Consider the following 27,554-nt stretch of genomic DNA (forward strand, 5'->3'; position numbering starts at 1 on the left):
AGTTGTTACTCTCATTGCTACAAATGATGAGACTGAGGTTTAGAGAGGTTATTTATCACTTAAAGCCATAAAGAGTTAAAAAGTGGATCTGAGAATCAAATTCAACTTTGATGCTTGAGGACTCTTGGAGCACTACTGTATTATAAACTTTGAAATTTTGACCCTCTTTTGCTGTACATGGGGAAGTGTGGAGGGTAGTAGGTATTTTTTTTTTTTTTTTTTTTTGAGACAGAGTCTCGCTCTGTTGCCCAGGCTGGAGTGCAGTGGCGTGATCTTGGCTCACTGCAAGCTCCGCCTCCTGGGTTCACGCCATTCTCCTGCCTCAGCCTCCCGAGTAGCTGGGACTACAGGCGCCCGCCACCATGCCTGGCTAATTTTTTTGTATTTTTAGTAGAGACGGGGTTTCACCGTGTTAGCCAGGATGGTCTCAATCTCCTGACCTCGTGATCTGCCTGCCTCAGCCTCCCAAAGTGCTGGGATTACAGGCGTGAACCACCGCACCCGGCCAGTAGTAGGTGTTTTTCTTAAGGATATCGCAGACTCCATGTTAATGAAGAGGAGTTCCCTGCCCACTTGCTAAATTAGATCAAGGACATTTTACTCTACCCACCCCCGCTCCAGCCCCCAACCTTAATCTTTCAGTTTTAATTTCTAATGTGGTAAATATTGATATAATCCAGCTAAACATAAAGTTATTTGAAGTTTTCAATTTTCATGAGTGCAAAAAAGTCCTGAGGCTAAAAACTTTGAGGACGACTGGTTTAGTTTTTAAAACATAGGCTTTGGGCCAGCAGGCCCTGGGTTTGAGTCCCTTTTCTAGCATTTACCAGCTATGGGCCTTTGTGAAAGTTATTTTTCTGATTCTCAGTGTACTTATTTGAAAAATAAAAAAAATTGAAAAATTGGTTACACGGGGTTGTGAGAACTAAATAGTACATGCCAAGTGTTTCACTTCAGGCTGGGTGCTCTTAGGAATGCCACGCTGCTGTGCTAGATAGTGCGGCTGAAAGGTGAGTGTGTGTTTGTAGATGGTTTAGTGAGGGGTCTAAGTGAAGAGCACACCCTTTGTATCTCTTTGGTTGTGAAGAAGCTGTTGTCAAGAGCACAGGAGGGCTGTGTGACCTGGTTCCAGGGTCCCTGGGCTCTAGTGGGTCATCTGGGCTGGAGGAAGAATTGCAGAGGACCCTTCAGAGTCCCGCACTCTTGGGTTGGGCTCAGCCTGACTCAGGAGGCAGAGTGCTGTCCAGGAGAGAATCTGAGCGCTGAAATTTCCTTTGGAGGCTTCCCAGGCAGGTACAGGCAGGTTCTGACCTTGATTTCTTTAGGCAGACTGAGGAGGCAGCAAAGCTGTACTGAAAGCTCATTGGTAACCTACGGTGTGTCTTTTGTCTTCAGTGGCCTCTTAGGACTGGCGCTGTTTTCCTTAAGCCTTTAGAATAAATTGCCTCTTTCCTGCTCCTTGGCTTCCTGAGCCACGCTGCCTGTGTGCCCGCCCTTAGCTTGCTTCTCTCTCAGCCTCTTTTTGCCTGCCTGACTTCTCCCTCTAGGATGTTTACAATAAATGTGTGCCAGAGAGTGAAGCCCCTGTAACACAGTGTTAACTTCGGCTTGAGTAAAATGAGTGAGGACTAAAGCTAGCACTGCTTTCCCACTTCCTCTGGCCCCACTTTCTTTTTATGGAAAAAGTCCTCTCCCTGATTGTTTTTCAGCTGGAGGTCTTGCTCACAAGCCTTCTTTCTGCAGTAGTTTCATTGCAGGGTCAAGCAGGTAAAGGAGAGAGAATATTGACTACTTAGGATGACATATTACTCCTAACTGTATTTCCTGGAATGGGAGAAAGAAGAGTAATGAGTTATTAATATCTCCATAAATAGAGTAGCAATAACTAGCTCTACCTTTCTGCCTAAGCATGTCAGTTATAGTTTAGAAGTCTGAAAGAGCAAACCCATGGCTTTTCAGATTTTAAATTCTAAAGGGAGAGGCTTTTTATCAGGCCCACGTCCTGCTCTTTTTGAAAGAGGTTTTATTTACTTTAAATAAATTACTAAAATTATAAATCTGTTTATATTCAGTTCTAACTTGTCTTCAAGTTTTCTGCTTGGGAAGACTGGTGAGACTGGAGCAAGATGAACTCAGTTTTCCCCATGAAAGATTGTTAGGGATGTGTGAGCAGAAGGTAGGTTAACCACATGTTAACATACCTTGGGGAGTGTGGCAAGGTGGCTGCCTTAATTTTCAGGGCAACTCAGATGCTTCCGTCTATCTGACCTGAGCATGAGCAGATAGATGTTGATTAATGCTCTTTTGCCTTGTTTTTTGGCTTTTTTGGGGGGTTTACATTTGGTAAGCAATATTTCTAACACAGTGAAAGTAACAAAACGACAGAGTTCTCTGTAACAGAACTGTGACCCTAGACTCAATAATAAGGAAGAGCGTTGATTTGACCGTTCATTTTTGGATCCAGTGTTTGTTAAGGCCCTGACTGTCAGTAACAGCCATCCTTTTCAGTTAGTGTGTTGTCTGTTCCCTATTCATGTGACAGGGCCTTGTTGAGCTTTTCATGGGCACTTGCCTTTCACTGACAGGATGCTGTTGTCCTTTATTTCCATTCTGCCCTCCCCACTTCAGACATGATAACATGTTTACTAGGGGGAAAATACCTCTACATTTTAAACCACTCCCAGGAGCAGATAACACTTTCTTTTTTTCTTTTTTGAGATGGAGTCTTGCTCTGTCACCCAGGCTGGAGTGCAGTGGCATGATCTTAGGTCACTGCAACCTCTTCCTTCCAGGTTCAAGCAATTCTCCTGCCTCAGCCTCCTGAATAGCTGGGACTACAGCCACGCACCACCACACCTGGCTAATTTTTGTATTTGTAGTAGAGACAGAGTTTCACCTTGTTGGCCAGGCTGGTCTCAAACTCCTGACCTCAGGTGATCCGCCCTCCTTGGTCTCCCAAAGTGCTGTGATTACAGGTGTGAGCCACCATGCCCAGCCCAGATAATACTTTCAAGAAGAAAAATGTGATAAAGGTAGGACTGCCTGTTTTCTTAAGTTGTTTCTAGCACCTCTCTTTACTCTCTATGGCGATGAGGAATCTGGCTGTTAAAGACTGAGTGGAAGATTAGCGTGAAACTTGTCTTAGGCTTGTAAAACAAAATGTCAGGGAAGTCTTCAAGCCTCCAGAGCAGCACTGCCCACTAGAACTGACGTGAGCCACAGAGAGACTTTTCCAGTGTATGCATAAAAACCTAAAAAGAGAGGCGAAATTAATTTTAAGAGTAGATTTTATTTAACCTATTTTAGCCATACTGCTATCACTTCAACACATCATTTAACAAATACATTAATTAGGCAATTTACATTCTTTGTTGAAATGCAGTGTGTAGTATACGTTTACAGCACATCTCAGTTGAGACCCATCATTGTCCAAGTGCCCACTAGCCACATGTGGCTTAATGGCTCTCGAAGTCCGACAGAGCAGATTAAGAGACATTGCTTGCTCTTTTTACTACTTAATGAACTTTAGTTTTCTTTTTTTCTGGTTACTGAATTCTAGATGTTAGATTTGTAGAGCCTACCTTTTGACCAGCACAAGAGAGGCCTGAGCCAGTCTGTGGTCTTCTCCTTGGGTTGGGGGGTGTGTGAGGAGTGGATGGGGCCAGCGTACCTCACTGGCAGGTCCTAGGCGAGTTGGGCTTTACCTTCTCTCCAAGAGACCTGCCAGCCTCTTCCCTCGCTTGAAGACACCAGGGGTGCAGAAGGCATTTTCTGGCCAACTGTTCTTTGCTGATCTGTTCATCCTAAGAACAAAATTGAGTGGCTTAAAACAAAATGTAGCTAGCCTATAGTTCCAAACCTTTAAAGCCTCTGTTATTTAATAAAGGCTGGAAATGAGTTATTCTGAATAGCCAGAGTTTCTCAGAGAGCAACTCTTTAAGCACCAGGAGTTTAGTAACTTTCATGGTGGGAAGAGTTCTAAGTGTTGAAGGTACTTTTGTCATCTATATGGGGTGGAAATTTTAATTTCACTTTGTTGATGGTGCAGCATCACCTTTTTAGTATGCTGCTTCACTTACTGGATGAGTAGCTAGTGTAGCAGATTTAAAAGTGTGAGATCAAAAGCTGAATATAGATAGAATGATGACGTTGGGACTTGATTTTTTGACAAGTATTTGATGGTGTGTTTCTTTGGTGTATTTGATGGTGTGTTTCTTTGGTTTATTTGCATCTTTTTCAAAGGTGAAATAGAGCATATGTAGCCATAAAGGTGTGTGGTTCTAGATTAATTTTCACAAGCTTTCTTCTGTAAAATTTCATATTATAAAATAAATTGAATCAGAAATATGGAAAAAAGTGAAAATATCACCCCCCCCCCCCCAATACTGCTGTCCTCCCTCCTCCCAAATAATACTGTTTAAGCATAGTGTCTGGTCTCTGGTGATTTCCTACATACAATTCAAGATTTGCCCCCAGGTAAAAAAAAAAAAAAAAAAAAGTATTAGAATCTACATCTTCTGATTATAAGTCCTAAATTTCTATATTTTATATAGCTACCTTTGGGCCATGAGTTCTAAGCTTTTTCTTATTGTATGTGTAACTCTGATATGTCCAAATTTGAAATGCCACGGTCATACTTACCTGCACACTTTTGGGGGCCCATTTAGAGCATTGAGTCTGAAGCGCCTTCTATTTATTAGCATAGAATGTATGCAAACAGCCATCCATAAGCCGTTAAGTGCCTAGCTGAATATCAGGGTTTAAAGATGTGGTTAAAACTGCTTGTCTGGTTGTGCATTACTAAATTATTTCTGGATCCACTAGCTTGTAAAACACTGCCCTAGAATGTAAATAAACCCCTTACAAAGTTTGTTGCCTACTTTTTTTTTTTTTTCCTTTGAGTGAGTCTGCTACTGAGCTTCTTACTTGTATTGGCCCCCATTTGGTTCTCTGCCGTGGTTGATATCTGTCAGTCTACACTCAGATCAAATTATTTGAAATCCTGTTTCCTTTGTGTGTGTGTGTGTGTGTGTGTGTGTGTGTGTGTTTTAAATAAGTTTCACTTTGTCACACAAGCTGGAATACAGTGATGTGATCATAACTCACTGCAGCCTTGAACTCCAGGGCTCAAGTGATCTCCCACTTCACCCTCCTGGGTAGTTGGGACCGCAGGTGCATACCACCACACCCAGCTAATTTTTACTTTTAGTAGAGACACGCTCTTGTTGTGTTGCCCAAGCTGGTCTTCAACTCCTGGGCTCAAGTGATCCTCAGTCTTAGCCTCCCAAAGCACTGTGATTGCAAGTGTGAGCCACTGTGCCTGGCCCTGATTTTTTTTTTTTTTTTTAATGTAAGTATATACTGATTTTTAAATTTTGGTATGGTGAATAAACATGGTTTTTATTGGCTTAGGGCACCTGTTACTGAGAAACTTAATTTTTTCATGTTTTGTAAGTTTAATAAATGGCTTTTTTTGTGCTGGATTTGGATTTGTTGTTCTGCCATGGTAATACATATTATATTCAGGAGAACTGACTACCTCTCACAGCTGAGTCACAGACAGGAAGCTGACTCTCCATGTTGTCCTCTAGCATTTTAATTTTGTGGGATTACTTTTCTTATTGTAGAATGAGACCTTGCTATAAAAATGTTGTCTTTGGGATCTTGCACATTTTTGGACTGTGTGTTTAACTGTAAATATTGATTTAAGGAGATTTTAAGCTCACGTTAAAACTAAATTACATTTCGCTTCTGAGAAAAGCCCTTTGGGAAAAAAGATTTTTAGGCCAAATGTGGAGCTGTTTCCTTAAGTTTGTTTTTTTTTCCTCCCTTGACTTAGGTAGGTAGGTTTTGTCTTCGCCGCCCCTTCCCTCAACAAGTTCTTTATAGAAACCTGTGATTTCTAGCCCAGTGTATATTGTTGCTTAAACATATAGAATATTGAGGAACCCAAGTTTTACTGGTAGGGTTCTTAATAACTGCCTTAGGTAGACAAAACATTTTGCCCTTGTGTCCCCCTACTCTTTCGCTCAGATGCAGGTTGAGGTTGGCATCCTGACATCCTGAGGGTAGAGTGGACTATGAGAGTTTAGGACAAGACCAGGAGAGACATCTAAGGGCTTCTCCTGTGACTGCTTTTGTGTCCATATTCTTTTTTTTTGTTTGTTTTGTTTTTTGAGATGGAGTCTCACTCTGTTGCCCAGGCTGGAGTGCAGTGGTGCGATTTTGGCTCAGCGCAACCTCCGCCTCCTGGGTTCATGCGATCCTCCTGCCTCAGCCTCTTGAGTGGCTGGGATTATAGGCACCTGATACCAGGCCCGGCTAATTTTTGTATTTTTAATAGAGACGGGGTTTCACCATGTTGGCCAGGCTGGTGTTGAACTCCTGACCTCAGGTGGTAGGCCCGCCTAGGCCTCCAAAGTGCTGGGATTACATGCGTGAGTCACCATGCCCGGCCTTGTGTCCGTATTCTTAGTCAAGAATGGTGTATATTTCTTTTAGGTTTGGGAAGGGGAGAGTGATGTATCTGGTCCCCATAGCAGGGGTAGGAATTTTCAAGGGTGGAGTAATTAAAGACTGCTTTAAAGGAACAGATATTCCCACCTTCTAATTAGAGAAGATCTGCACTGCAAGTGACCACAAATTAAAACAGCTCAGTGGGGACAGAAGATTGGATGTCATGTCCCAACAGCCTTATTTATCTCTTTTTCCTTCCAAGGTTTTTTTCCCTGCCCCCCCTTCTTAGCTTTGGATAGAGATTAGAAAAGCTCTCTGAGGAAAAAATTAACCAGCAAACAAACAAAACAGATCCCAAATATCATTTTAATACTATGTCTAGTTTGGTCCAAGAAATAGGCTTGGTTAATCTTTACAGCAGCCTTTGAAAATGAATGGAAATACTAAGGAGGTAAACTGCTTATACTTTTTGGCACCTCTTCTGCTTCCAGTGAAGAAATGCTCTGTAGGTGCTTGAGGAACTGGTGTCGTGATGAATGTCACCATCAAAAGTGAAGGGTCGAGCTCTTTTTTTCTGATAAGCAAAATGACTTTTAATGTCTGTAGCACATTGATGTGCTATATCAGTTGTATACATTGTAGTCTGTTTTCTATATCCTCTTATTCAGAGGAGTAGCCACAACTCCAGTCTCTGGTGTAAAACAGCATGTTAGTATTTCATAGAATTTTTGAGAGAATGTTGGCTGGCTCTGTTTGTAAATACTGTACCTTGCTTTTTGGCTTCTGAAGAATAGTCTAAAGTTTACCGAGTGAAGCTGATTAAGCAAGGAAGCACCCTAAATAGATTTCCATTTGCACATCTTCAAAAAAGTGTGTGTGGGTATGTGCCTCTGTGTATATGGAAGTAACAAATGCTTCTGGTATTTGCCTTTTAAAAGCAAGAAAACAAAACAAAACAACAGCTTCTACTGTTCTGCTTTGGGAAAGCAGGATTTTCTGTCAGATGACAAATTTATTGAAGAACTTTCATGCGTCCATGTAATTTCTATTTCCCATTTCTTGACTCTGAATTTGGAATACAACAAGACTGCTTTCAGAAATAAGGAATGAGGCCAGGTGCGTTGTCTGTCATCTGTAATCCCAGCACTTTGGGAGGCTGAGGTGGATGGATCTCTTGAGCCCAGGAGTTCGAGACTAGCGTGAGTGACATGGCAAAACCCCATCTCTACAAAAATACAAAAGTTAGCTAGGACAAGAGAAGGAAATAAAGGGTATTCAGTTAGGAAAAGAGGAAGTCAAATTGTCCCTGTTTGCAGATGACATGATTGTATATCTAGAAAACCCCGTTGTCTCAGCCCAAAATCTCCTTAAGCTGATAAGCAACTTCAGCAAAGTCTCAGGATACAAAATCAATGTACAAAAATCACAAGCATTCTTATACACCAACAACAGACAAACAGAGAGCCAAATCATGAGTGAACTCCCATTCACAATTGCTTCAAAGAGAATAAAATACCTAGGAATCCAACTTACAAGGGATGTGAAGGACCTCTTCAAGGAGAACTACAAACCACTGCTCAAGGAAATAAAAGAGGATACAAACAAATGGAAGAACATTCCATGCTCATGGGTAGGAAGAATCAATATCATGAAAATGGCCATACTGCCCAAGGTAATTTACAGATTCAATGCCATCCCCATCAAGCTACCAATGCCTTTCTTCACAGAATTGGAAAAAACTACTTTAAAGTTCATATGGAACCAAAAAAGAGCCTGCATTGCCAAGTCAATCCTAAGCCAAAAGAACAAAGCTGGAGGCATCACGCTACCTGACTTCAAACTGTACTACAAGGCTACAGTAACCAAAACAGCATGGTACTGGTACCAAAACAGAGATATAGATCAATGGAACAGAACAGAGCCCTCAGAAATAACGCTGCATATCTACAACCATCTGATCTTTGACAAACCTGAGAAAAACAAGCAATGGGGAAAGGATTCCCTATTTAATAAATGGTGCTGGGAAAACTGGCTAGCCATATGTAGAAAGCTGAAACTGGATCCCTTCCTTACACCTTACACAAAAATCAATTCAAGATGGATTAAAGACTTAAACGTTAGACCTAAAACCATAAAAACCCTAGAAGAAAACCTAGGCATTACCATTCAGGACATAGGCATGGGCAAGGACTTCATGTCTAAAACACCAAAAGCAATGGCAACAAAAGCCAAAATTGACAAATGGGATCTAATTAAACTAAAGAGCTTCTGCACAGCAAAAGAAACTACTATCAGAGTGAACAGGCAACCTACAAAATGGGAGAAAATTTTCGCAACCTACTCATCTGACAAAGGGCTAATATCCAGAATCTACAATGAACTCAAACAAATTTACAAGAAAAAAACAAACAACCCCATCAAAAAGTGGGCGAAGGACATGAACAGACACTTCTCAAAAGAGGACATTTATGCAGCCAAAAAACAAATGAAAAATGCTCATCATCACTGGCCATCAGAGAAATGCAAATCAAAACCACAATGAGATACCATCTCACACCAGTTAGAATGGCAATCATTAAAAAGTCTGGAAACAACAGGTGCTGGAGAGGATGTGGAGAAATAGGAACACTTTTACACTGTTGGTGGGACTGTAAATTAGTTCAACCATTGTGGAAGTCAGTGTGGCGATTCCTCAGGGATCTAGAACTAGAAATACCATTTGACCCAGCCATCCCATTACTGGGTATATACCCAATGGACTATAAATCATGCTGCTATAAAGACACATGCACACATATGTTTATTGCGGCATTATTCACAATAGCAAAGACTTGGAACCAACCCAAATGTCCAACAATGATAGACTGGATTAAGAAAATGTGGCACATATACACCATGGAATACTATGCAGCCATAAAAAATGATGAGTTCATGTCCTTTGTAGGGACATGGATGAAATTGGAAATCATCATTCTCAGTAAACTATCGCAAGAACAAAAAACCAAACACCGCATATTCTCACTCATAGGTGGGAATAGAACAATGAGATCACATGGACACAGGAAGGGGACTATCACACTCTGGGGACTGTGGTGGGGTTGGGGGAGGGGGGAGGGATAGCATTGGGAGATATACCTAATGCTAGATGACGAGTTAGTGGGTGCAGCGCACCAACATGGAACATGTATACATATGTAACTAACCTGCACAATGTGCACATGTACCCTAAAACTTAAAGTATATATATAAAAAAAAAAAGTTAGCCAGGCGTGGTGGTGCAGGCCTGTAATCCTAGCTACTCAGGAGGCTGAGATGGGAGAATTGCCTGAGCCTGGGAGGTGGAGGTTGTAATGAGCCAAGATTGCACCACTTGCACTCCAGCCTGGGTGACAGAGTAAGACCCTGTCTAAAAAAAAAAAAAAGAAGGAACAAAGAGACATACCTAGGATCAGCAGGATGATCTCACAGAGGAATGGGGGGTCATCAAGATTGTGTATTCAGATAATGTTTGCTTCTGCTGTAAGTCCTCTACCTTTTTATCTTTTCACTTCCTTCTGTTTTGAATTTGGGGACCAGTCCAGGCTCCACAGCCTGGGCACAACACTGATACCTGCCACTGGGAAGGGACGTAACCTTTCTTGTTTCGTTGGGGGGTGTATGTGCCGCTTCCATCCCTCTGTTGGTGTGTTGGAAAGTATGATGGGGTTTTAATAACAGCTTTTCAGCTATGCATTGGCATTTTTGTAAAGAATTCAGTGTTCAACAGTTGTACATACACACATTCTTATCAGGTGAAGAAGCATGAAGTTAACTAAAAGGAAAGGAGAAAACACACTGAAGAAACTGGTAAACGTTCGGTGGAACATATTCACTAGGATACCGCCTTTGTAGAAATGATCTTTCTCCTCCCCTTTTACTTTTATACAACAGAGAGGCAGAATACTCTGCCATGAGACTGATCCTCTCCTGCTTCCCAGTGCTGCTTTCAAGTCCCAGCTTGTGGTTGGGAACACAATAGCTTAACCCCTGGAGTCTCAATGTCTCATCTGTAAAATGGGACTCAGACAAAAGGCCAGAGGGGGTGAAACTTTAAGGTGCCTTTCTTCATTCAGCACATTATTGGGTACATACTGAATACTAGGCACTGCTGTTTCCATGTATTTAAAATGGAAAGAAATGCATGGCCTCTGCCTGACCTCATGGAGCAGAGAGAGAAGACAGGCATTAAGCAGACAACTCCTAAATCAGTGGTTACATGACATGTAAGTTAAGGAACTGTTAGGAGGTGCTGAAACTAAACTGGCTTTCATTTAAAACCAGGTGAGTTGGTAGGGGCTCGACTACAGACACCTGTAGGTAGGGTAGACTGGGCATTCTATCTGCCTTCAAGGTATGAATCTTCGCTGTGGTCTGGACAGTGTGTCCCATTTACGTATACACTGGCATTGCTTTCTTTTATACTGTTTTGTTTCAGTTTGGTCCCAAAGGAGCCAGCACAGTGTTCATCATTCATGGGGAGGTGTCAGCTGTCATTCTACTGTTTCCTTATCAATGTTTTACATTTTGGTTTTGAGCATTCTGATCCTCATAGAGCAGGTGACCTCTGTGTTTGTAGGGTGAGCCATGTGAACGTCCTCTGGGGCTGGTGGGGGAGAGCAGTGCTTTCCAAAGCTTAACGGTGTTTCAGTTCCCTATTTGTTTTTTGTTATCTTTTTCTTCTGAACCTCCCTGTTTTTCCAGGGTTGTAAAGTGGATTAAAACTAATTTTATATTGAAATGGAAACTTTTATAACATGCCCAAGGGTAAATGAAGTCACAACAAGGTAGTGAATGAAAGATTTCTTGAAAGTTGATGAAAATAAAGTAGCATGGGAATCACACTTGGTCATACAGTTTTAAATTCCTCAGGTTGTATTCACAGTGCACCAGCTTGTCTCTTACGGAGTGCTTAGTTTCTCAGCAGTTCATATTCTTGTATGAAGGGTGGCATTATCTCAATAGAATTGGTTCATTCTTAGCTCAGGAGAAAATGCCACTGCTTATATCCATCTGCATTTTCTCATATCCTTATTCATATAGTGCCTAGCCTATTTTCTGCCAATCATAGCTAAGCTCACCCTGTGTACCAGAAGTCACATAGTACTGGGAAGTTCCAGGGTAAAGGAGGGAAAGAAAGAGGATGACATTGATGGTGCACTCAGCTGGGCACTGTGCTAGTGCTTTCACCTATGAGGATGAATTTGAGGTAATGCTATTCCCATTTAGCTGAAGAAAAAACCGAAGGCTTAGCAAGGTTAATTTACCTGTCTGTGGTCATAAATTGGAGGTACTGAGTTAGAATCCAAGCTTATTCCATAAAACTGCACCAGGAGTTTTACTGGCCGTGTCCACATTCCACATCATTATTGCTACTGGCCACTGTCCACGTCTGTGTATGAAACCGTGTCAGGCTCAGGAGACCTGTTTCTGTTTCTACTGGTGCCAGGCTCCGACTGTAGGGAGCATTGGCAGTTCACGCAGATAGTCATGGCATTCAAGGCAAAAGCAGACTGCAGGACAATGCCAGTTCTGTGTTTATTGCACAGTAAATGATGACAGTAACAATAGCCAGCATTTATTGTGTGTTTTATTCACTCCAGGAGTTGTGGAGCATACTTGTACATGCAATATCTCATTTAATCTCTCAAATTAATGCTATAAAGCAGGCACTGTTTTTATTTCCATTTTTTAGATGATGAAACTGAAGCTTAGAGGTATTTGTGCAGTTTGCCTGATGTATAGGTACAGAGCTACTAAGTAGCAGAGCTGTGATTTGACTTCCTTGCCAAGCTTAAATGCCTCCCCAGATTTGCCTTTGATTTAAAGAGTTAATCAGTTTCTACAGCTCACCCTCCCCACCTGCCCTTTTCCCTTGCCTACCCCATAACATGCATTTTCAAAGAAAATCTTTGTTTGAAATAGTTTTTGAAATGTGCCTTTGGCATTTTGAACATAAACATTCTCATTGTGCTGCTTGCAGGCAAGAGGCTGTGGAAATGCATTCCCTGGAGGATTTAGCAAAATAGGGTAGATATCCATCTTTTTTTGTTGAGGTTCTGGACTCTGAAAAATCAAGTCAGTGGCATTCTAAGATCTCATCTAGCTATGATTTATGAAACACAGTGAGATATGGATTTCAGCAAGTATGGGAACCACTTTTAGCATTTTATGAATTACCTTTCAGACATTTTTGTCCGCAAGTATACAGTTTTTTTTTTTTTTCCTTAGCCCAGCAAAAACCTTTCCAGGCTTTAGTCTGGAAGACAGTCTGTTTGTCTCAAGGAGTGTTCATTATAGAAACTACCAAGGGATTTTGGTGACTGTTTTGGATTTAACCAGTAATGCACTTTTAGGAAAGTACCTCAGTCTTTGGTGGCTTGAAGAGTTAAACTACCTTGGTGTAAATGGCTCTTTCAGGTTGACTGTCTCTGTGGGGTTTGCAGGAACCACTAAAGTTCAACACCCACCATGGCCCTTGTCCAGAAGGGTGGACAGCTAGCGCCTGGGGTCTTTATTATTAGTAGTGGCTATTTCCAGTTAAAGGAAGAGAAGGGGATGATTGACAAGCCGAATATGGCATTTGGTTTTCTTTCTTTCTGTTAACTGCAAAGGCTCAATCAAATAATGACATTGCTTTTGTTTTTCAGTGTTAGACACTAGTTAATATTAATCTAGCCCTGTCTGCATCTTATATTATATGTGAATGTGAAATGCCTTCAAGGGGAGAGATAATCTGCAGGTCATCTCTTACTAGTCAGTATGTTTTCATGTCTTCATAGTGCCACCCGATTCTGCCAACTCTGGGAAATCACTTTCAAGGTATGGATTATGACATCATTCTATTCACGGTATATTAGAGGCTTTGAGTTGGGAAGCTTTTTTGCTGTTTTTTTTTTTTTTTTTTTTTTTTTTGAGAGATGGAATCTTGCTCTGTCACCCAGGCTGGAGTGCAGTGGCGTGATCTCAGCTCACTGCAATCTCCACCTCCTGAGTTCAAGCAAATCTCCTGCCTCAGTTTCCCAGGTAGCTGGGACTACAGGTGTGTACCACCGTGCCCAGCTGATTTTTGTATTTTTAGTAGAGACAGGATATCACTATATGTTGGCCAGGCTGGTCTTGAACTCATGACCTTAGGTGATCTGCCTGCCTTGGCCTCCCAAAGTGCTGGGATTACAGGCATGAGCCACCACGTCCAGCCTAGTTGGAAGGCATTGTTGATGTAAGTTTTCATCAAGCAGAGTTAATTCAAACACAGCCTTGGGAATATGCCCAGAGAATGTAAGGTGGCTTACTGGCTGTCAATAAAAGAAATGCCAACTCCTCAGTCCTCAGCAGCTCCATGTTGGAGCGAGAAAGGCTTTTTTTGCTTTATGAGTTGTTAGGAGAGAAAGCCCTGGAATGGAAGGCAGGCAAGTGTGAAGATGAGGGGAAGGAAGGAGTCCAGAATATTGTTAGTCATGGCCACAAAAACCCAGTGAGTTGTATGAGGTCTCACAATGGTGAAGTAACATGATATGATGAAATGTAAATATTTGTTTTTATTTATTTATGCCTTGCTCCAGAAATAATTTAAGGTCTATATGGGCAGCTGCTTCATTTATATTAGCTAGGAAAAGTTATAGGAATTCACTTTGTTTGCTAGATTTGGTAATCACTAATGACTGAGAATGACAGTGTTTGTCAAATACTTAAAAAAAAAATTAGTTTGTTGTTTTGATGCCCCCTCCTCGCTTTTTTTTTTTTCTTTCTTCCCTTGAAAGCAGAGTGAAAAATTTTTGTATTCTGGGCTAAAATTCTTAAAGGTTTTCTTGTGGACTTCCTAGTAAAGGCCCTTTGTCTGTTATGCAGAGTCCGAATTCACATGACCACTGCTGGGGAATAAATAACTGCTTAAATACAGCAAAGGAAAAGGCTGGCTGGTCTTCTTGCTCCTTTCATACTTGTTTATTTCCCACCCCGAGTTCCTGACCCCAAGAGAAACTCTTGTGGAAGAAAAAAGCTTTACTGAAATTGGTGGGCGGCCTGAGACAACTGTTGAAGGAACAGAAACTCCAGAAAGTGATACTCTGAGTATCATCTTACATCTTTATGTCTGACAGATGAAAAGTTTTTGGTCTCTTTATGTCTGTCTGTCTGTCCCTCTCTCCTCCCTGCTAGCTGCACACTCTTTTCTTCTTCTTTCTTTATTTTTGCATTAATCCGCTCTCCCTCTGTTCCTCATCTGCCTCTTAAGTTTCTCCATTTAACAGAGTAGATTGTTGTGAACTCGAAATCAATAGCTGATTTAGGCCTACCCCTTGCCTTGTTACATGGACTTGTCTTGGACAGAGTACTTTGTGCAAACAGGTACTTGTATTTACTGCCTGTCTTTTCTTTCACTAGGTGACGTTAGTAGGTGCACATCTGTCTATAGTAGCTGTTACTGTGTTTTGATGCATGCGGGGAAACTTTATTTATAGTATGAGTTCTTTTTCTTTTTTTTTTTTTTTTTTTTTTTTTTTTTGAGACAGCGTCTTGCCCTGTCGCCCAGGCTGGAGTGCAGTGGTGCGATGTCGGCTCACTGCAAGCTCCGCCTCCCAGGTTTACACCATTCTCCCGCCTCAGCCTCCTGAGTAGATGGGACTGCAGGCAACCGCCACCACGTCTGGCTAATTTAGTTTTTGTATTTTTAGTAGAGATGGGGTTTTACTGTGCTAGCCAGGATGGTCTGGATCTCCTGACCTCGTGATCCGCCTGCCTCGGCCTCCCAAAGTGCTGGGATTAACAGGCGTGAGCCACTGTGCCCGGCTGACACCTTGATCTTAATGAAGTCATAGGATCCAAGTGCTGCTGTCAGACCCTCCTGCAAAATTTTACTGTGGGTGCTAATACAAATTGAATTAAGCCAAGAGGGAATCTGGAAGCTGAGTAGATGCCATCTACTCCAGCCCGTTTCCTATTTTGCAGCTAGGACTATCAGTGCCTGCTCGGTAGTAGTTGAAAAATACTGTTGACATATTATGGAAGGTCAGAGGTGCATACAGGTCATTAGTGACAGGACTGGAATCTGACCTGTGTCCTCTGGGGTCTGGTTCATCTTTACTACAGGTATGTCTTTTCTGTTGTTGTTTCTTATTTTTGAGACAGCTTCACTTTGTTGCTTATGCTGGAGTGCTGTGGCTTGATCACAGCTCGCTACAGCTTGGACCTCCTGGGTTCAGGTGATCCTCCCACCTCAGCTTCCTGAGTAGCTGGGACTGCAGGCGCGCATCACCATGCCCAGCTAATTTTTGTATTTTTTTTTTTTTTTTTTGTAGAAACAGGGTCTCAACATGTTGTCCAGGGTGGTCATGAACTCCTGGGCTCAAGTGATCTGCCTGGCTCAGCCTCCCAAAGTGCTAGGATTATAGGCGTGAGCTGCTGCACCAAGCCATTACAGGGGTATTTTATTAGCAAAATGACCTCCATCACTTATAAATAAATTACTCTGCTATGAAAAGGTTTCACCTGAGTATTTATTGGGAGTTGTGTTTGGGAAAGATCTTTAACACCGTTATTGATTCTTCATTTAACTTCATGCAGAGCACAGTGGTACAGGGTTTGTTGGACTTCTAAGGTCTCATTCACCTCTTGAGATGGCTTCACAACTATCTGTGTGTACCTTTGGAGTAAGGGATAAGAAGGAGGGGGATGTCTTTCATGTGGGAGGCTTGGGGCATAAAGAGCCTTGGGACTTTGTTTTATACAATTACAATGTCATCAGAAACTCATTGAAATAATTATAGTTTGACAGATGCTTTTTGGAATAATGATATGTTAATACTTTTATGTAATTCTCTGTTAGTAATTCCAGATTACTTGTTACAGGTTTTAGAAATAGCATATATAATCTGTATTTCTGCATTTATCTCTTTTTCTACAAAATTTGAGAACACCTTCCTAGCAAATCATTGGTAAATACTATAAGTGAATAGACTAGATCTACAGAAAACCAGTCAAATCTGTAGCTCACAAATGGTAGAAGTCAAGACCTGAACCCAGATCACATTTTAAAAAATAAATCAGATATACAGTAATAATGACAGATTACTTAATACAGACTCAATAGATACATAAAATTTTAAAAATAACACAGTCCCCCCTTATCCACGGGGGATACATTCCAAGACCCCCAGTGGATGCCTGAAACTGAGGATAGTACTGAACCCCATGGTTTTCCTATACATACATAGCTAAAATTTAATTTGTAAGTTAGGCACAGTAAGAGATTAACAACAAAAGCTAATAATAAAATACAAAAATAGGCTGGATGTGGTGGCTCACGCCTGTAATGCCAGCACTTTGGGAGGCCGAGGCGAGTGGATCGCTTGGGGCCAGGAGTTCAAGACCAACCTGACCAACATGGTGAAATCCCGTCTCTACTAAAAATAGAAAAAATTATTTTTACAGGCGTGGTGGTACACGCCTGTAATCCCAGCTACTTGAGAGGCTGAGGCACAAGAATAGCTTGAACCTGGGAGATGGAGGTTGCAGTGAGGCGAGATTGCACCACTGCACTCCAGCCTGAGTGACAAGAGAGACTCCATCTCAAAAAACAAACAAACAAAAGCAATAACAATACATTGTAAGAAAAGTTATGTGAATATGGGCTCTCTCAAAATATCTTACTGTATATAATACTTTTAGACTGTGGTTGACTGTGCATAACTGAAACCATGGAAAATGAAACCTCGGGTAATGGGGGTACTACTGTTGTCTGTCTTATAGTAATGAACATAGTCACAGAACCCTCTATTCTTGGAAGATGACAGAGCAAAAGTATCTGAAATTTGTGGTTACAGTAGCTGTTTTACATTTTTTATGTGAGAAGAGATGCTACAGAAGGATTTAAGGACACATCGTGAGCGTTGTGTTACTCTCTGTTTGGCAGTATAGTATAGTTCACCTTTGAACAACATGGATTTGAACTGTGTGGGTCCACTTAGATATACTCGGATGTTTTTCAGCCAAATGCATATTGAAAATATATGCAGGATGTGAAACCTGTGTATAAGGAGGAGCAGTTTTTCCTATAGGCAAGTTCCACAGAGCATCTGTGGGAATTGACTAAGTGCGGATTTGGTTATACTTGGGGGTCTTGGAACCATTCCCCAGAGTCTACCGAGGGAGGACTGTGTATGAAATTTAGGCTTCCCAGCTGTGTCCTTTGATAACCATAACCCTGACTGATCCCGTAGCTTTCCTTTTAGGAGGAACTACGTGGTCTAAAGAAAGGAAAGAAAATATGAGAAATTTGGCAAAGGTCAGGAATATAGGCATTAGAAATAATCACACTCACATCCCAGGTGGCACACTTTCTTGGAGTTAAAATGAAAGTGATCTCTTATGGATGTTCGCCACTATAAAGAAGGGTTGCTGGCCGGGCGCGGTGGCTCACGCCTGTAATCCCAGCACTTTGGGAGGCTGAGGCAGGCGGATCACGAGATCAGGAGATCGAGACCATCCTGGCTAACATGGTGAAACCGCGTCTCTACTAAAAATACAAAAAATTAGCCGGGCGTGGTGGCAGGCGCCTGTAGTCCCAGCTACTCGGGAGGCTGAGGCAGGAGAATGGCGTAAACCCGGGAGGCGGAGCTTGCAGTGAGCCGAGATCGCGTCACTGCACTCCAGCCTGGGTGACAGAGCAAGACTCCATCTCAAAAAAAAAGAAAAAAAAAAAAGAAGGGTTGCCATTTCGTTTTGGGGTTCTTGTTTCAGTAGACTATAAGGGGTCATTCAGTTAGGTTAGGCTTTTCTCTCTGTGAACAAAGTTTGCTTCCTTTGCTTTCCTTGGTCATTTTTCTCCTAGAAAGAGCTCTTATCTGTTTTCTTTTAAGGAGTCTTTCATGACACCATCTCCTTGGCATTTCCTCTGAGTTGGCGGTCCTGAATTTCCCAGCCATGAGGAAGGGTTTGTTTGTGAAGGGGAGCTGTAACATCAGTGAAATGAGCTTTTTCTTTCCCTTTTCTTTTCCCTTTGCCATTTCCCTTTCCCTTTCCCTCTCCCCTCCCCTCCCCTCTCCTCCCCTCTCCCCTCCCCTCCCCATTCCCCTCCCCTCCCCATTCCACTCCCCTCCCCTCTCCCCTCCCCATTCCCCTCCTCTCTCCCCTCCCCATTCACCTCCCCATTCCCCTTCCCTCCCTTCCCCATTCCCCTTCCCTCCCCTCCCCATTCCCCTCCCATCCCCCCTCCCCTCCCCCTCCCCATTCCCCTCCCCCTCCCCTCCCCATTCCTCTCCCCTCCCCTTTACCATCCCCTTCCCCCCTCCCCCTTTTCTCTCCCCCACCTCCCCTTCCCCCATCCTCTCCCCCTCCCTTCTCCCTTCCCTTCCCTCCCCTTCCCATCCCCCTTCCCTTCCCTTTTCCCTTTCCATCCGTCTCCTCTGTCTTGACAGGGTCTCACTTTGTCAGCCAGGCTGGAGTGCAATGGCACAGTCTCACCTCACTGCAGCTTGTGACTCCTGGGCCCAAGTGATTCTCCTACCTCGGCCTCCTGAGTTGCTGGGAATACAGGTGCACGCCACCACACCTGGCTAATTTTTTGTATTTTTTTGTAGAGATGGGGTTTCACTATGTTGGCCAGGCTGGTCCTGAACTCCTGACCTCAGGTGATTTTCTGGCCTTGGCCTCCCAAAGTGTTGGGATCACAGGCATGAGCCACTGTGTCAGCCAGCTTTTTCTTTTTCTTTTTTTTTAGATTTAGACAATATTTTAAGTTTCCAAAATATTTTTATAGGCCGGGTGTGGGGGCTCACCCCTGTAATCCCAGCACTTTAGGAGGCCAAGGCAGGAGGATCACGAGGTCAAGAGATTGAGACCGTCTTGGCCAACATGGTAAAACCCTGTCTCTACTAAAAATACAAAAATTAGCCAGATGTGGTGGTGTGAGCCTGTAGTCCCAGCTACTTGGGAGGCTGAGGCAGGAGAATTGCTTGAACCTGGGAGGCAGAGGTTGTAGTGAGCTGAGATTGTGCCACTGCACTCCAGCCTGGCAACACAGCAAGACTCCATCTCAAAAAAAAAAAACAAAATATATATATATATATATATGTATATATGTGTGTGTGTGTGTGTGTGTGTGTGTGTATATGTATTTATATTCTCACACTATTTTGGTTCTTAAAGTGGCTCCCATACACATTGAGACTTTTGTATTTGAAGTAGATAAGATGTTCTTCTATTTAAAAAATAAAGTTTGGAGAGGCAGAGGTAAAATACTCTCTGTTAGAATAATATAAGAAAATTGTTGGCCCGGCGCAGTGGCTCACGCCTGTAATCCCACCACTTTGGGAGGCCGAGGTGGGCGGATCACCTGAGGTTGGGAGTTGGCGACCAGGCTGACCAACATGGAGAAGCCCCATCTCTACTAAAAATACTAAATTAGCTGGGCGTGGTGGCGCATGCCTGTAATCCCAGCTACTGGGGAGGCTGAGGCAGCAGAATCGCTTGAATCTGGGAGGCGGAGGTTGCCGTGAACTGAGATCGCGCCATTGCACTCCAGTGTGGGCAACAAGAGCAAAACTCTGTCTCAAAAAAAATTGTTTAAAGTGGAATGTTTAACATGTTGGCAATTTAGATAAAAAAGACTAGATTGAATCCAAAGAACCAACTTAAAAAAATGTGGAATTATACTTCTTCCTAGAACAGAATGTCAAGGCTATAATAATCGCAGTTTTAAAGTGAAACATTTGTGTTTTGTGAAGTTGCTATAGAAGTTAAAGATACTATCATTGTAATGTGATTTTCTTTTCTTTTGGTTTTGGTATAAATGAAGTATTTCATATTTAAAATTATGTAAATTAAAGTTTTGAGGTTTGCTGTTATTAGATGTATTTTTTCTTAAAAAAATTTTTTTTTATGATAGTGTAGATTGTTTAGCTAATGTTGCTTGATCTTTTCCAGTGAATTGTGTGAGGTTTTGCTTGGGCCCAGTCATCTAGCATACATCAGTTTGGTGTGTTTTGTGTGTCTGGCATCACACTAGGTCCTGGGGATATATAGAGAGGAGAGTCCTTGCCTTCAGGATTCTCTCACTTTACAGGCAGGTAATTCAGTTATGGGGAGTATGGGAGCATTCTTTTTTTTTTTTTTTTTCTTTTGAGACGAAGTCTCTCTCACTCTTGTTGCCGGGCTGGAGTGCAATGGCATGATCTCGGATCACTGCAACTTCCGCCTCCCAGGTTCAAGCAATTCTGTCTTAGCCTCCTGAGTAGCTGGGATTACAGGTGCACGCCACCACACCTGGCTAATTTTTTGTATTTTTAATAGAGACAGGGTTTCACCATGTTGGCCAGGCTGGTCTCGAACTCCTGACTGCAAGTGATCCACCTGCCTCGGTCTCCCAAAGTGTTGGGATTACAGGCATCAGCCACCACACCCCGCTGAGTATGGGAGCATTTTAATCCCTATCCTGCCCCATCTGCCACCCTCACCGAGCTACATTCAGCGCTGGTGCTGAGTCAGGGCAGACATAATTGGAGAACAGTGGGTTAGGCTGTGTGATTGTGTAGACCTGGGTGGACTGAGATAGGTCTGTAAGCTTGGGCAACTCACGTAACCCCTCTCAGTCCATTTCCCTGTCTGAAAAAATAGAACCGGGAGTCTATTCCAAGTAGGGTTGTTTTCAGGATTAGAAGGTATATGGGTGGAAAGTGAATTGACTTTTAGTTAAGCATTCAGTAGGTGGTGTTTCTGTGATCTTGGTGATGACCTCTGGCATCAGAAATTGTGTATCCCACATTTAAAGGCACCTCATTTAAAATGTCTGGAAGAAATCCTCAGTAAGAGAATATGGAGTCTGGCAAATTGCCACACCTAGGTAAGATGCTTAATCGACCCTTAATCTTCGCTGTGGTGACAAATCCATGCCTGGCATAGGTAGCCCAGTTGGTCTTGTCCCCTGCATCCTTGTCCCCCTGGGCAGTGAAGATTTTTCCTTGCAGTGACTTGAATTCCTGGGATTTGGAACACCAGAGGAGTTTTCAAAGGAGGCCATTCTGAATAGAAGCTCTGTCCGGTCCAGGCCCTCATACTCCCATTCAACCCTGAGTACAGAAGTACTTTTGATACCATCTGCTGAGTTGTCAGCTCTTGTAGAGGTAAAACGGCTAAGTGGCACAGGGGAAGATTATTAAGGGCATGGCCATCTAAATGGGAGCTCTTTAACAAAAGTCTGGCAGTAAATGGAATTTCCTCATTCTAAATTGCTGTGAAGAAACCCCCCAAGCATGTGTTGCACAAAGCTGTACTGTTGTCTCACTGGGGCTAGCAGAGGGCTGTGAAGCTCTCTCTGACTTGATAAAATCCCTCCTCCTAGGCTTTTCAGTGCTTGGCTCTCCCTGTGTGGGTGTAATTGGAACTGGGAGAGGAAAGGATTATGGAAAGCAATAGTCTGCTTTCTGCTAGTTTCCAGCAGCTGTTTTGGGCTGGTGGGGGCTGGGGTGTTATGTGTGTGGTGGTGAATTTGAGTGGCCGCCATTTGTGGAAATGTGACAACATGTCATCAACTGATAGGTAGCTAGACCTGAGGAATGTGAGGCCAGAAGATTCTAGCTGCAAAGGGCCCCAGCTCTGCAGCCCCAGATGCAGGGTCAGACCTCTGCTCTACTGCTCCTAGCCCCTGCTGTGACCTCGGGCAATGCACCTGGGTGGGGTAGGATGTGTAAGTCCACTCTGTCATTAGCACAGTCTTCCAGGAAAGAATCCTGTGAGACAGAAGAATCCGGTGAGACTGAGAGACACAAGAAGGAGAAGTTGTGTAGCACTTATACTTACCTACCACACCAGCCAGTGGATAAAGGCGCTGTTCTCAGGGTTGCTGTAGAGCTAGACAGGAGTTAGTTCATGACAGAATCACATTGCAAAGAGAAAGAAAACACAGTTAAGTTATTAATATATACCCACTTTACAAGTCGTGACCAGGTCAGATGACTTTGGATACAGTATATACATATCATTTTCTTTTGAGCTTTATCTTGATGATTGTGATTTTTCTAGGGTTTTGGTGGCCAAGTTATTGGGCTTATAAGTTTTAAATTAATTTTTTATTGATTAAAGAATTAACCAGAGTTGTTATGCAAATGTCCACAAATGTGCACAAGTCCTCCTTGCATCTTCTAGCAAAAGGAAGTGTGAGTGAAGCAACAATTTCCAGAAGGTTTTAAATATGCCAGGAGTGCTGGCACAGAAGGCCCTGGCATTCATGGACTCTAGACTTAATAGAAGCTCAGGGAGATGAACTAACTTGAAGAGTGTCTTACCACAATCTCTATGAGAAACAAAGGTGAGGAATTCATAGAATTCTGATCTGAATGTTGCTGTGAAATACAGTTATTTTGTAATTTCGGAAATGCCTTTAACTTAAAAAGCTCTCTCCAGGTGCATTTACAACATAATCTGACTTAAAAAAAAATCAGTGTTTCATCACAAGGCTGTGGCTGGAGAGGGGGCTGGAGAGGACCCTGAGAGGTCAGGGTGCATGCAGTGTGGCTGTATGATTTTGCCTGAGAAATAGGAATGTATGATGGCATTGTGTCACATTTTTTCATCTTTGTCACGTGGGGCTATAGTGACACAACTGTATTTACAGGGAAGTCTGTGGGTTTGGTGTTCCCTAAGGAGGGTTTATTTAACATACTTACAACATTGTTTACTCAGATAAGGAAACACCGAGATGCTAAAAAAATGATTGTGCATGTATGTATGTGATATGCGTAAGGGTCTAGCTTCCTTTTATAAAATATGAGTGTCAAACATATGTAGCATTGCACTGTAATGTCATACGTAAAGTTCTTTCTGAAAAATTATACCCAAATTGAACCTTGCTGTTAAATTCATAGTTCATTTTGTTAGAAAGGCCATTATACTGAGTGAAAAATGACTTGGAATTTAACCTTAGTTTTGACACTGTGTTCCTGGCTGAATCTTTGCCTTGAGCTCAAATTCCCATTGGTAAAATTAAGTTGAGAACATTCTCATTCTGCCTACCTCTTTGAGGTTGATTTATGATGATCCAGTGTGTGAATATATTAATATGTGCAAGGACATGTTTGAAAAGTATGTAATGACTTAGGAGATGGTATGCCATATGTATTGCATTTTAAACCTTTATTTTAATGATACCTAAGGAATTAGTTGTAGGGATAGTTTTGCATTGTTATTAATCATCTAATAATTGTGTCTGCTTTTAAAGCTCTTAGATTTCTGTAAAGCAGATTATACTTGAATTAATATAAGCCCTGCACCTTCTTGCCACTCATAACCTAGAGTAATATAACCAAGACCCTGACCTCTTTGATATTTTGGCTCATCTCCTTCTTTTTGTGAATATTTCCCTTTTCTCCTGCATTCTCTCTTGTTTATAAACATATCCCTTGAAATCCTAGATGCTTTTAAGTGAAATAATCTCAGATTAAAATATTTATTTCACTATTTAAGTGATGAAATTTATGAGCATTATTAGTTGGACAAACTAACATTATGTAATTCCCTTGCAATACTGTAGGTAATATACCATTATCAGATGGTCCAAAAAATGTTAATCAGAATTTAAGTAAGCAAGGTAAACTTGAGGATAAAGGAACAAATTAACAACACAAATAATGCAAGGGAATAATCAGATAATTTCAAAATGTGAGACCTTCCATAAGGCAACTGGCCAGTTTCTTTAAAAAGTCAATCCCATGGAATCAAAGGGGGATTTGAAGAAACAAGCTAAAAAAAAAAAAGTATGTAGGGAGGAAGGGGTATTGGGAATATTTGAATGTAGACTGGATATTGTGGATATTGGGTAATACAAGGATTGTTGTTTTTCTTAGCTGTGCTAATGGCATGTGATAATGGCAAGATACTCGTAACTGTTTTTAGAGATGAAGTATTTTTTGTTTGTGTGTTTGTTTTGAGCCTGGAGTGCAGGGGCGCAATCACGGCTCTCTGCAGCCACCATCTCCCGGGCTCAGGTGACCCCCTTGCCTCAGCCTCCCAAGTAGCTGGGAGGTGCGCGCCACCATGTGCAGCTAATTTTTGTATTTTTTGTAGAGATGGGGTTTCATGATGTTGCCCAGGCTGGTGTCAAACTCCTGAGCTCAAGCAGTCCACCCGTCTCAGCCTCCCAAAGTGCTGGGATTACAGGTGTAAATCACACTGCCTGTACTTAGAAATGAAGTATCTTGATCTCTGTATTTTATTTTTGAAATGATTCAATGAGGAAATCTATCTTACTAGGAGAAAGATAAATTTGTCAAAATATTAACAAGTGTTGAATCTAGGTATTAAGTAATCAGATATTCATTATATTTGGGAACATTCCTTTTACTTTTCTGTATGTTTAGAAATTTCACAATTAAAAGTAGACAAAATAGTATTTCAATTTCTGAGACAATTACTCTGTGAGGCGTATTTTAAAGTGTAGACCCGGTTGAATTTCTCTAAAGGTGTTTCTTTGCCTTAGTGAACTTTTGCCTCTTTTCAGCTTGCTTGTTTCATCTTTAAAAAAAATTAAAAAAATTAAATGGAAATTTAAAAAGGTTACATACCCTATTCGGAGACATGGGTGGATGGAAAGTGTGGACACTTTCATTGGCCCTGGCTGTCTCACAGACCCAGTTTTACCTTCACCAAAGTTAAGGGACCCTTTTTATCTTTGACTGCTTCTGAGAAAACTTTATCCCTTGCCTGATGAATTGAACTAATGTGGGTACCCACTATGTATGCACGCACATATAAGAATTTGTAGATCTTATGAATTTCTGAAATTACAGAAAAATGAACTGGTCTGATTTTTCCTCTTCTTTATGAGTGCTGGGGGCTGGACAGGAGGTAAGCTGGTGGTGGTCACCTGGGCTTAGTGGGAAGGATGTCACTGCTTTAGAAGTTATGTCAATCAAATAAGTTGATTGGATTTCTGCTTTATGATAAGCGTTATCATAAATGTCTTATAGGTGGTCTGTGGGAGGACTCTGGAGACCTGGAGCAGTCCCTGGCTCCCAGTCTTTGGGGGTGTGTCTTGGATCTTTTAAAAGTGACTTCATGCAATATAAATACAGTTCATGTGATTTGTATTGGTTGGGTAATTTTGGAGGAAGTAAACCCTAAGCCACCAATTTCCAGCTTTATTCAGATTTAGAGCCTTTTGTCTTGATTTTTTTTTTTTTCATTTCAAAGTTTTCTTTAACAAAAGTTAAACACTGGATGTTTTTTCCTAACTTGTTTCCGGCTTTGGCATCTCTAAGCTCATTTCCCTTTATGTTTCCTGTTCTAGGAAATAATTATTTCAAACTTTGTCTTTTGCATAGGTTGAGGTACCTTCTTTATGTTACTGGTGGACGGTGTCCAGGTTCTTGGCACTTTGAACAAAGATTTGGACAAAATGCACAAACAAAGCAAGGAAAGAATGAAACAACAAAAGCAGAGACTTACTGAAAATGAAAGCACACTCCACAGGGTGGGAGCGGGCTCTAGCAAGCAGCTCAAAGGCCTGGTTACAGAATTTTCTGGGGTTTAAATACCCTCTAGAGGTTTTCCATTGGCTACTTGGTGTACACCCTATGTAAATGAAGTAGTGGCCTGCAGTCAGTCTTATTGGTCCCTTTCCGTAACTAATCAGAGTTTGAAGTGAAGTTACAAAGTTATACCCTATGCAGACATCTAATTGGTTGTGGAAGGCAACCAATTCTCCTGCCTCACTTCCCACTGGAGGGATTTGTTGACTATGAAAAGGGGATAGCTAAGTGAAACAATGGGCAAGTGACTCAATCTGGTGAGAAAAAGCCACAGTGGCATGTTTGGTATCCTCCTTTAGGAAGAGCAAACCGAGAGCCACACATACTTGCAAATATGTTATCTCACTGGGAGTTGGGTGGAGAGGCCCTATGATTTAACCTGGCTTTTATTAGAATTTTTTTTTATTAGCTCACAATTGTGAAGAGTTTGTCTCTTCTCCCCTAAATGTGTGGTCTTTTGAAAGCTCTTCAGTTAGGAATTTCAGAGGGAGCTTTTGAACACAAAGACTCTTCCTTCTGTATGACAGCTTGCTTTGGCGTGTCTTTGGCTTTTGTTTGCACTGTGATCTATTTATCTCCAGAGTGGCCTTGCCTTTTAACTCTGAGACCTCAGAAAGTACACCAGTGCTAATCATTTGGTGTGAACCAATGTCTCACCTTTAGAGATGGGTCTGCCTCTGTTTTTATCTAGCTCAGGGTCCTCAGCAGGCAGAGTTCATGCACTGCTGGCTCCAGACTGATCTCCTCGCAGAGAGAGATGCTCCTTCTAACTGACACCCAAGTGGAGTATATGACAGGTTGTCATAGCCTTTAATTAGGCAGAAAATTCACTTTAATAATTGCTATGACAGCTGGGCCTGCTAATAACTGGGCTAGAATGAGCTGTAATATTCTATTGCTTGTGTTCAGATCTGTTTCTCCCCTCACCCCCCCTTACTTTTCCACAAATGAAATGGCCTTTTGGATTTGGTGGACTTACTATAAATCAAAACTTGTTGTTGTTCCAATAAAAGATTGGTATTCAGGAGTGTTTTGGAGTAGGTAATTGAAACACAGATTTTCTTTATTTTTTCTTCATTGTACTTATTTGTATACTTCCTTTTTACACATGGCTTATTAGCTGCAGTTACTTAAGCTGCCTCTCTAAGAATATGATTATCTTGTATCATAACGTTAGTAATATTTTAATATATAATGAATTGGGGGCACTAAAGTGACTTAAAAATTTGCATTTCTGCATCCAATTAAGGGGTATACCATGCCCCTTTCGGTAAAATTTTGATCTGTTTCCTCTTTAATTAACCCCAGTGGGCTTGGGAAGTAACTGAGCATCGTGATATTTAATATATATTGCTTTTCTTTTGATACTATTAACTGCTTTTAACAAAGAATACATTGTTGGATTAGAGAAGACAAAGCTCTCAAGGAGCAAATGAGTCCTGCATGCTGTTCTAAAACACCACATTGCTGTCGTCAGCGTTGATTAAGGTTTTGCTTAGGTATTGTATGCTTTTGATTATAGTCCTGACATTTTAGTTTTGT

The 27,554-nt window shown here is 41.8% G+C and overlaps 1 protein-coding gene across 55 annotated transcripts in view, besides 2 other annotated features; it reads left to right on the forward strand.

Annotated features, from left to right (window-relative positions):
- The window catches only part of MAP4K4 (mitogen-activated protein kinase kinase kinase kinase 4), a 196,984-nt gene that overhangs the window by 43,254 nt on the left and 126,176 nt on the right, over nt 1-27,554 (forward strand). The window lies entirely within an intron of this gene.
- Nucleotides 1,063-1,792: an enhancer, noted in NCBI's record as "NANOG-H3K27ac hESC enhancer chr2:102358485-102359214 (GRCh37/hg19 assembly coordinates)". NCBI's record gives its function as "activates a minimal SCP1, AML or CMV promoter by ChIP-STARR-seq in naive and primed H9 embryonic stem cells {active_cell/tissue: H9 hESC(naive and primed)}" and the evidence as "EXISTENCE:reporter gene assay evidence [ECO:0000049][PMID:30033119]".
- Nucleotides 26,047-26,341: a silencer, noted in NCBI's record as "tiled region #8953; HepG2 Repressive DNase unmatched - State 1:Tss". NCBI's record gives its function as "represses a minimal TATA promoter and a strong SV40 promoter by Sharpr-MPRA in HepG2 cells {active_cell/tissue: HepG2}" and the evidence as "EXISTENCE:reporter gene assay evidence [ECO:0000049][PMID:27701403]".

The sequence above is a fragment of the Homo sapiens genome, chromosome 2, assembly GCF_000001405.40.
Source record: "Homo sapiens chromosome 2, GRCh38.p14 Primary Assembly".
Classification (NCBI taxonomy): Eukaryota; Metazoa; Chordata; class Mammalia; order Primates; family Hominidae; genus Homo; species Homo sapiens.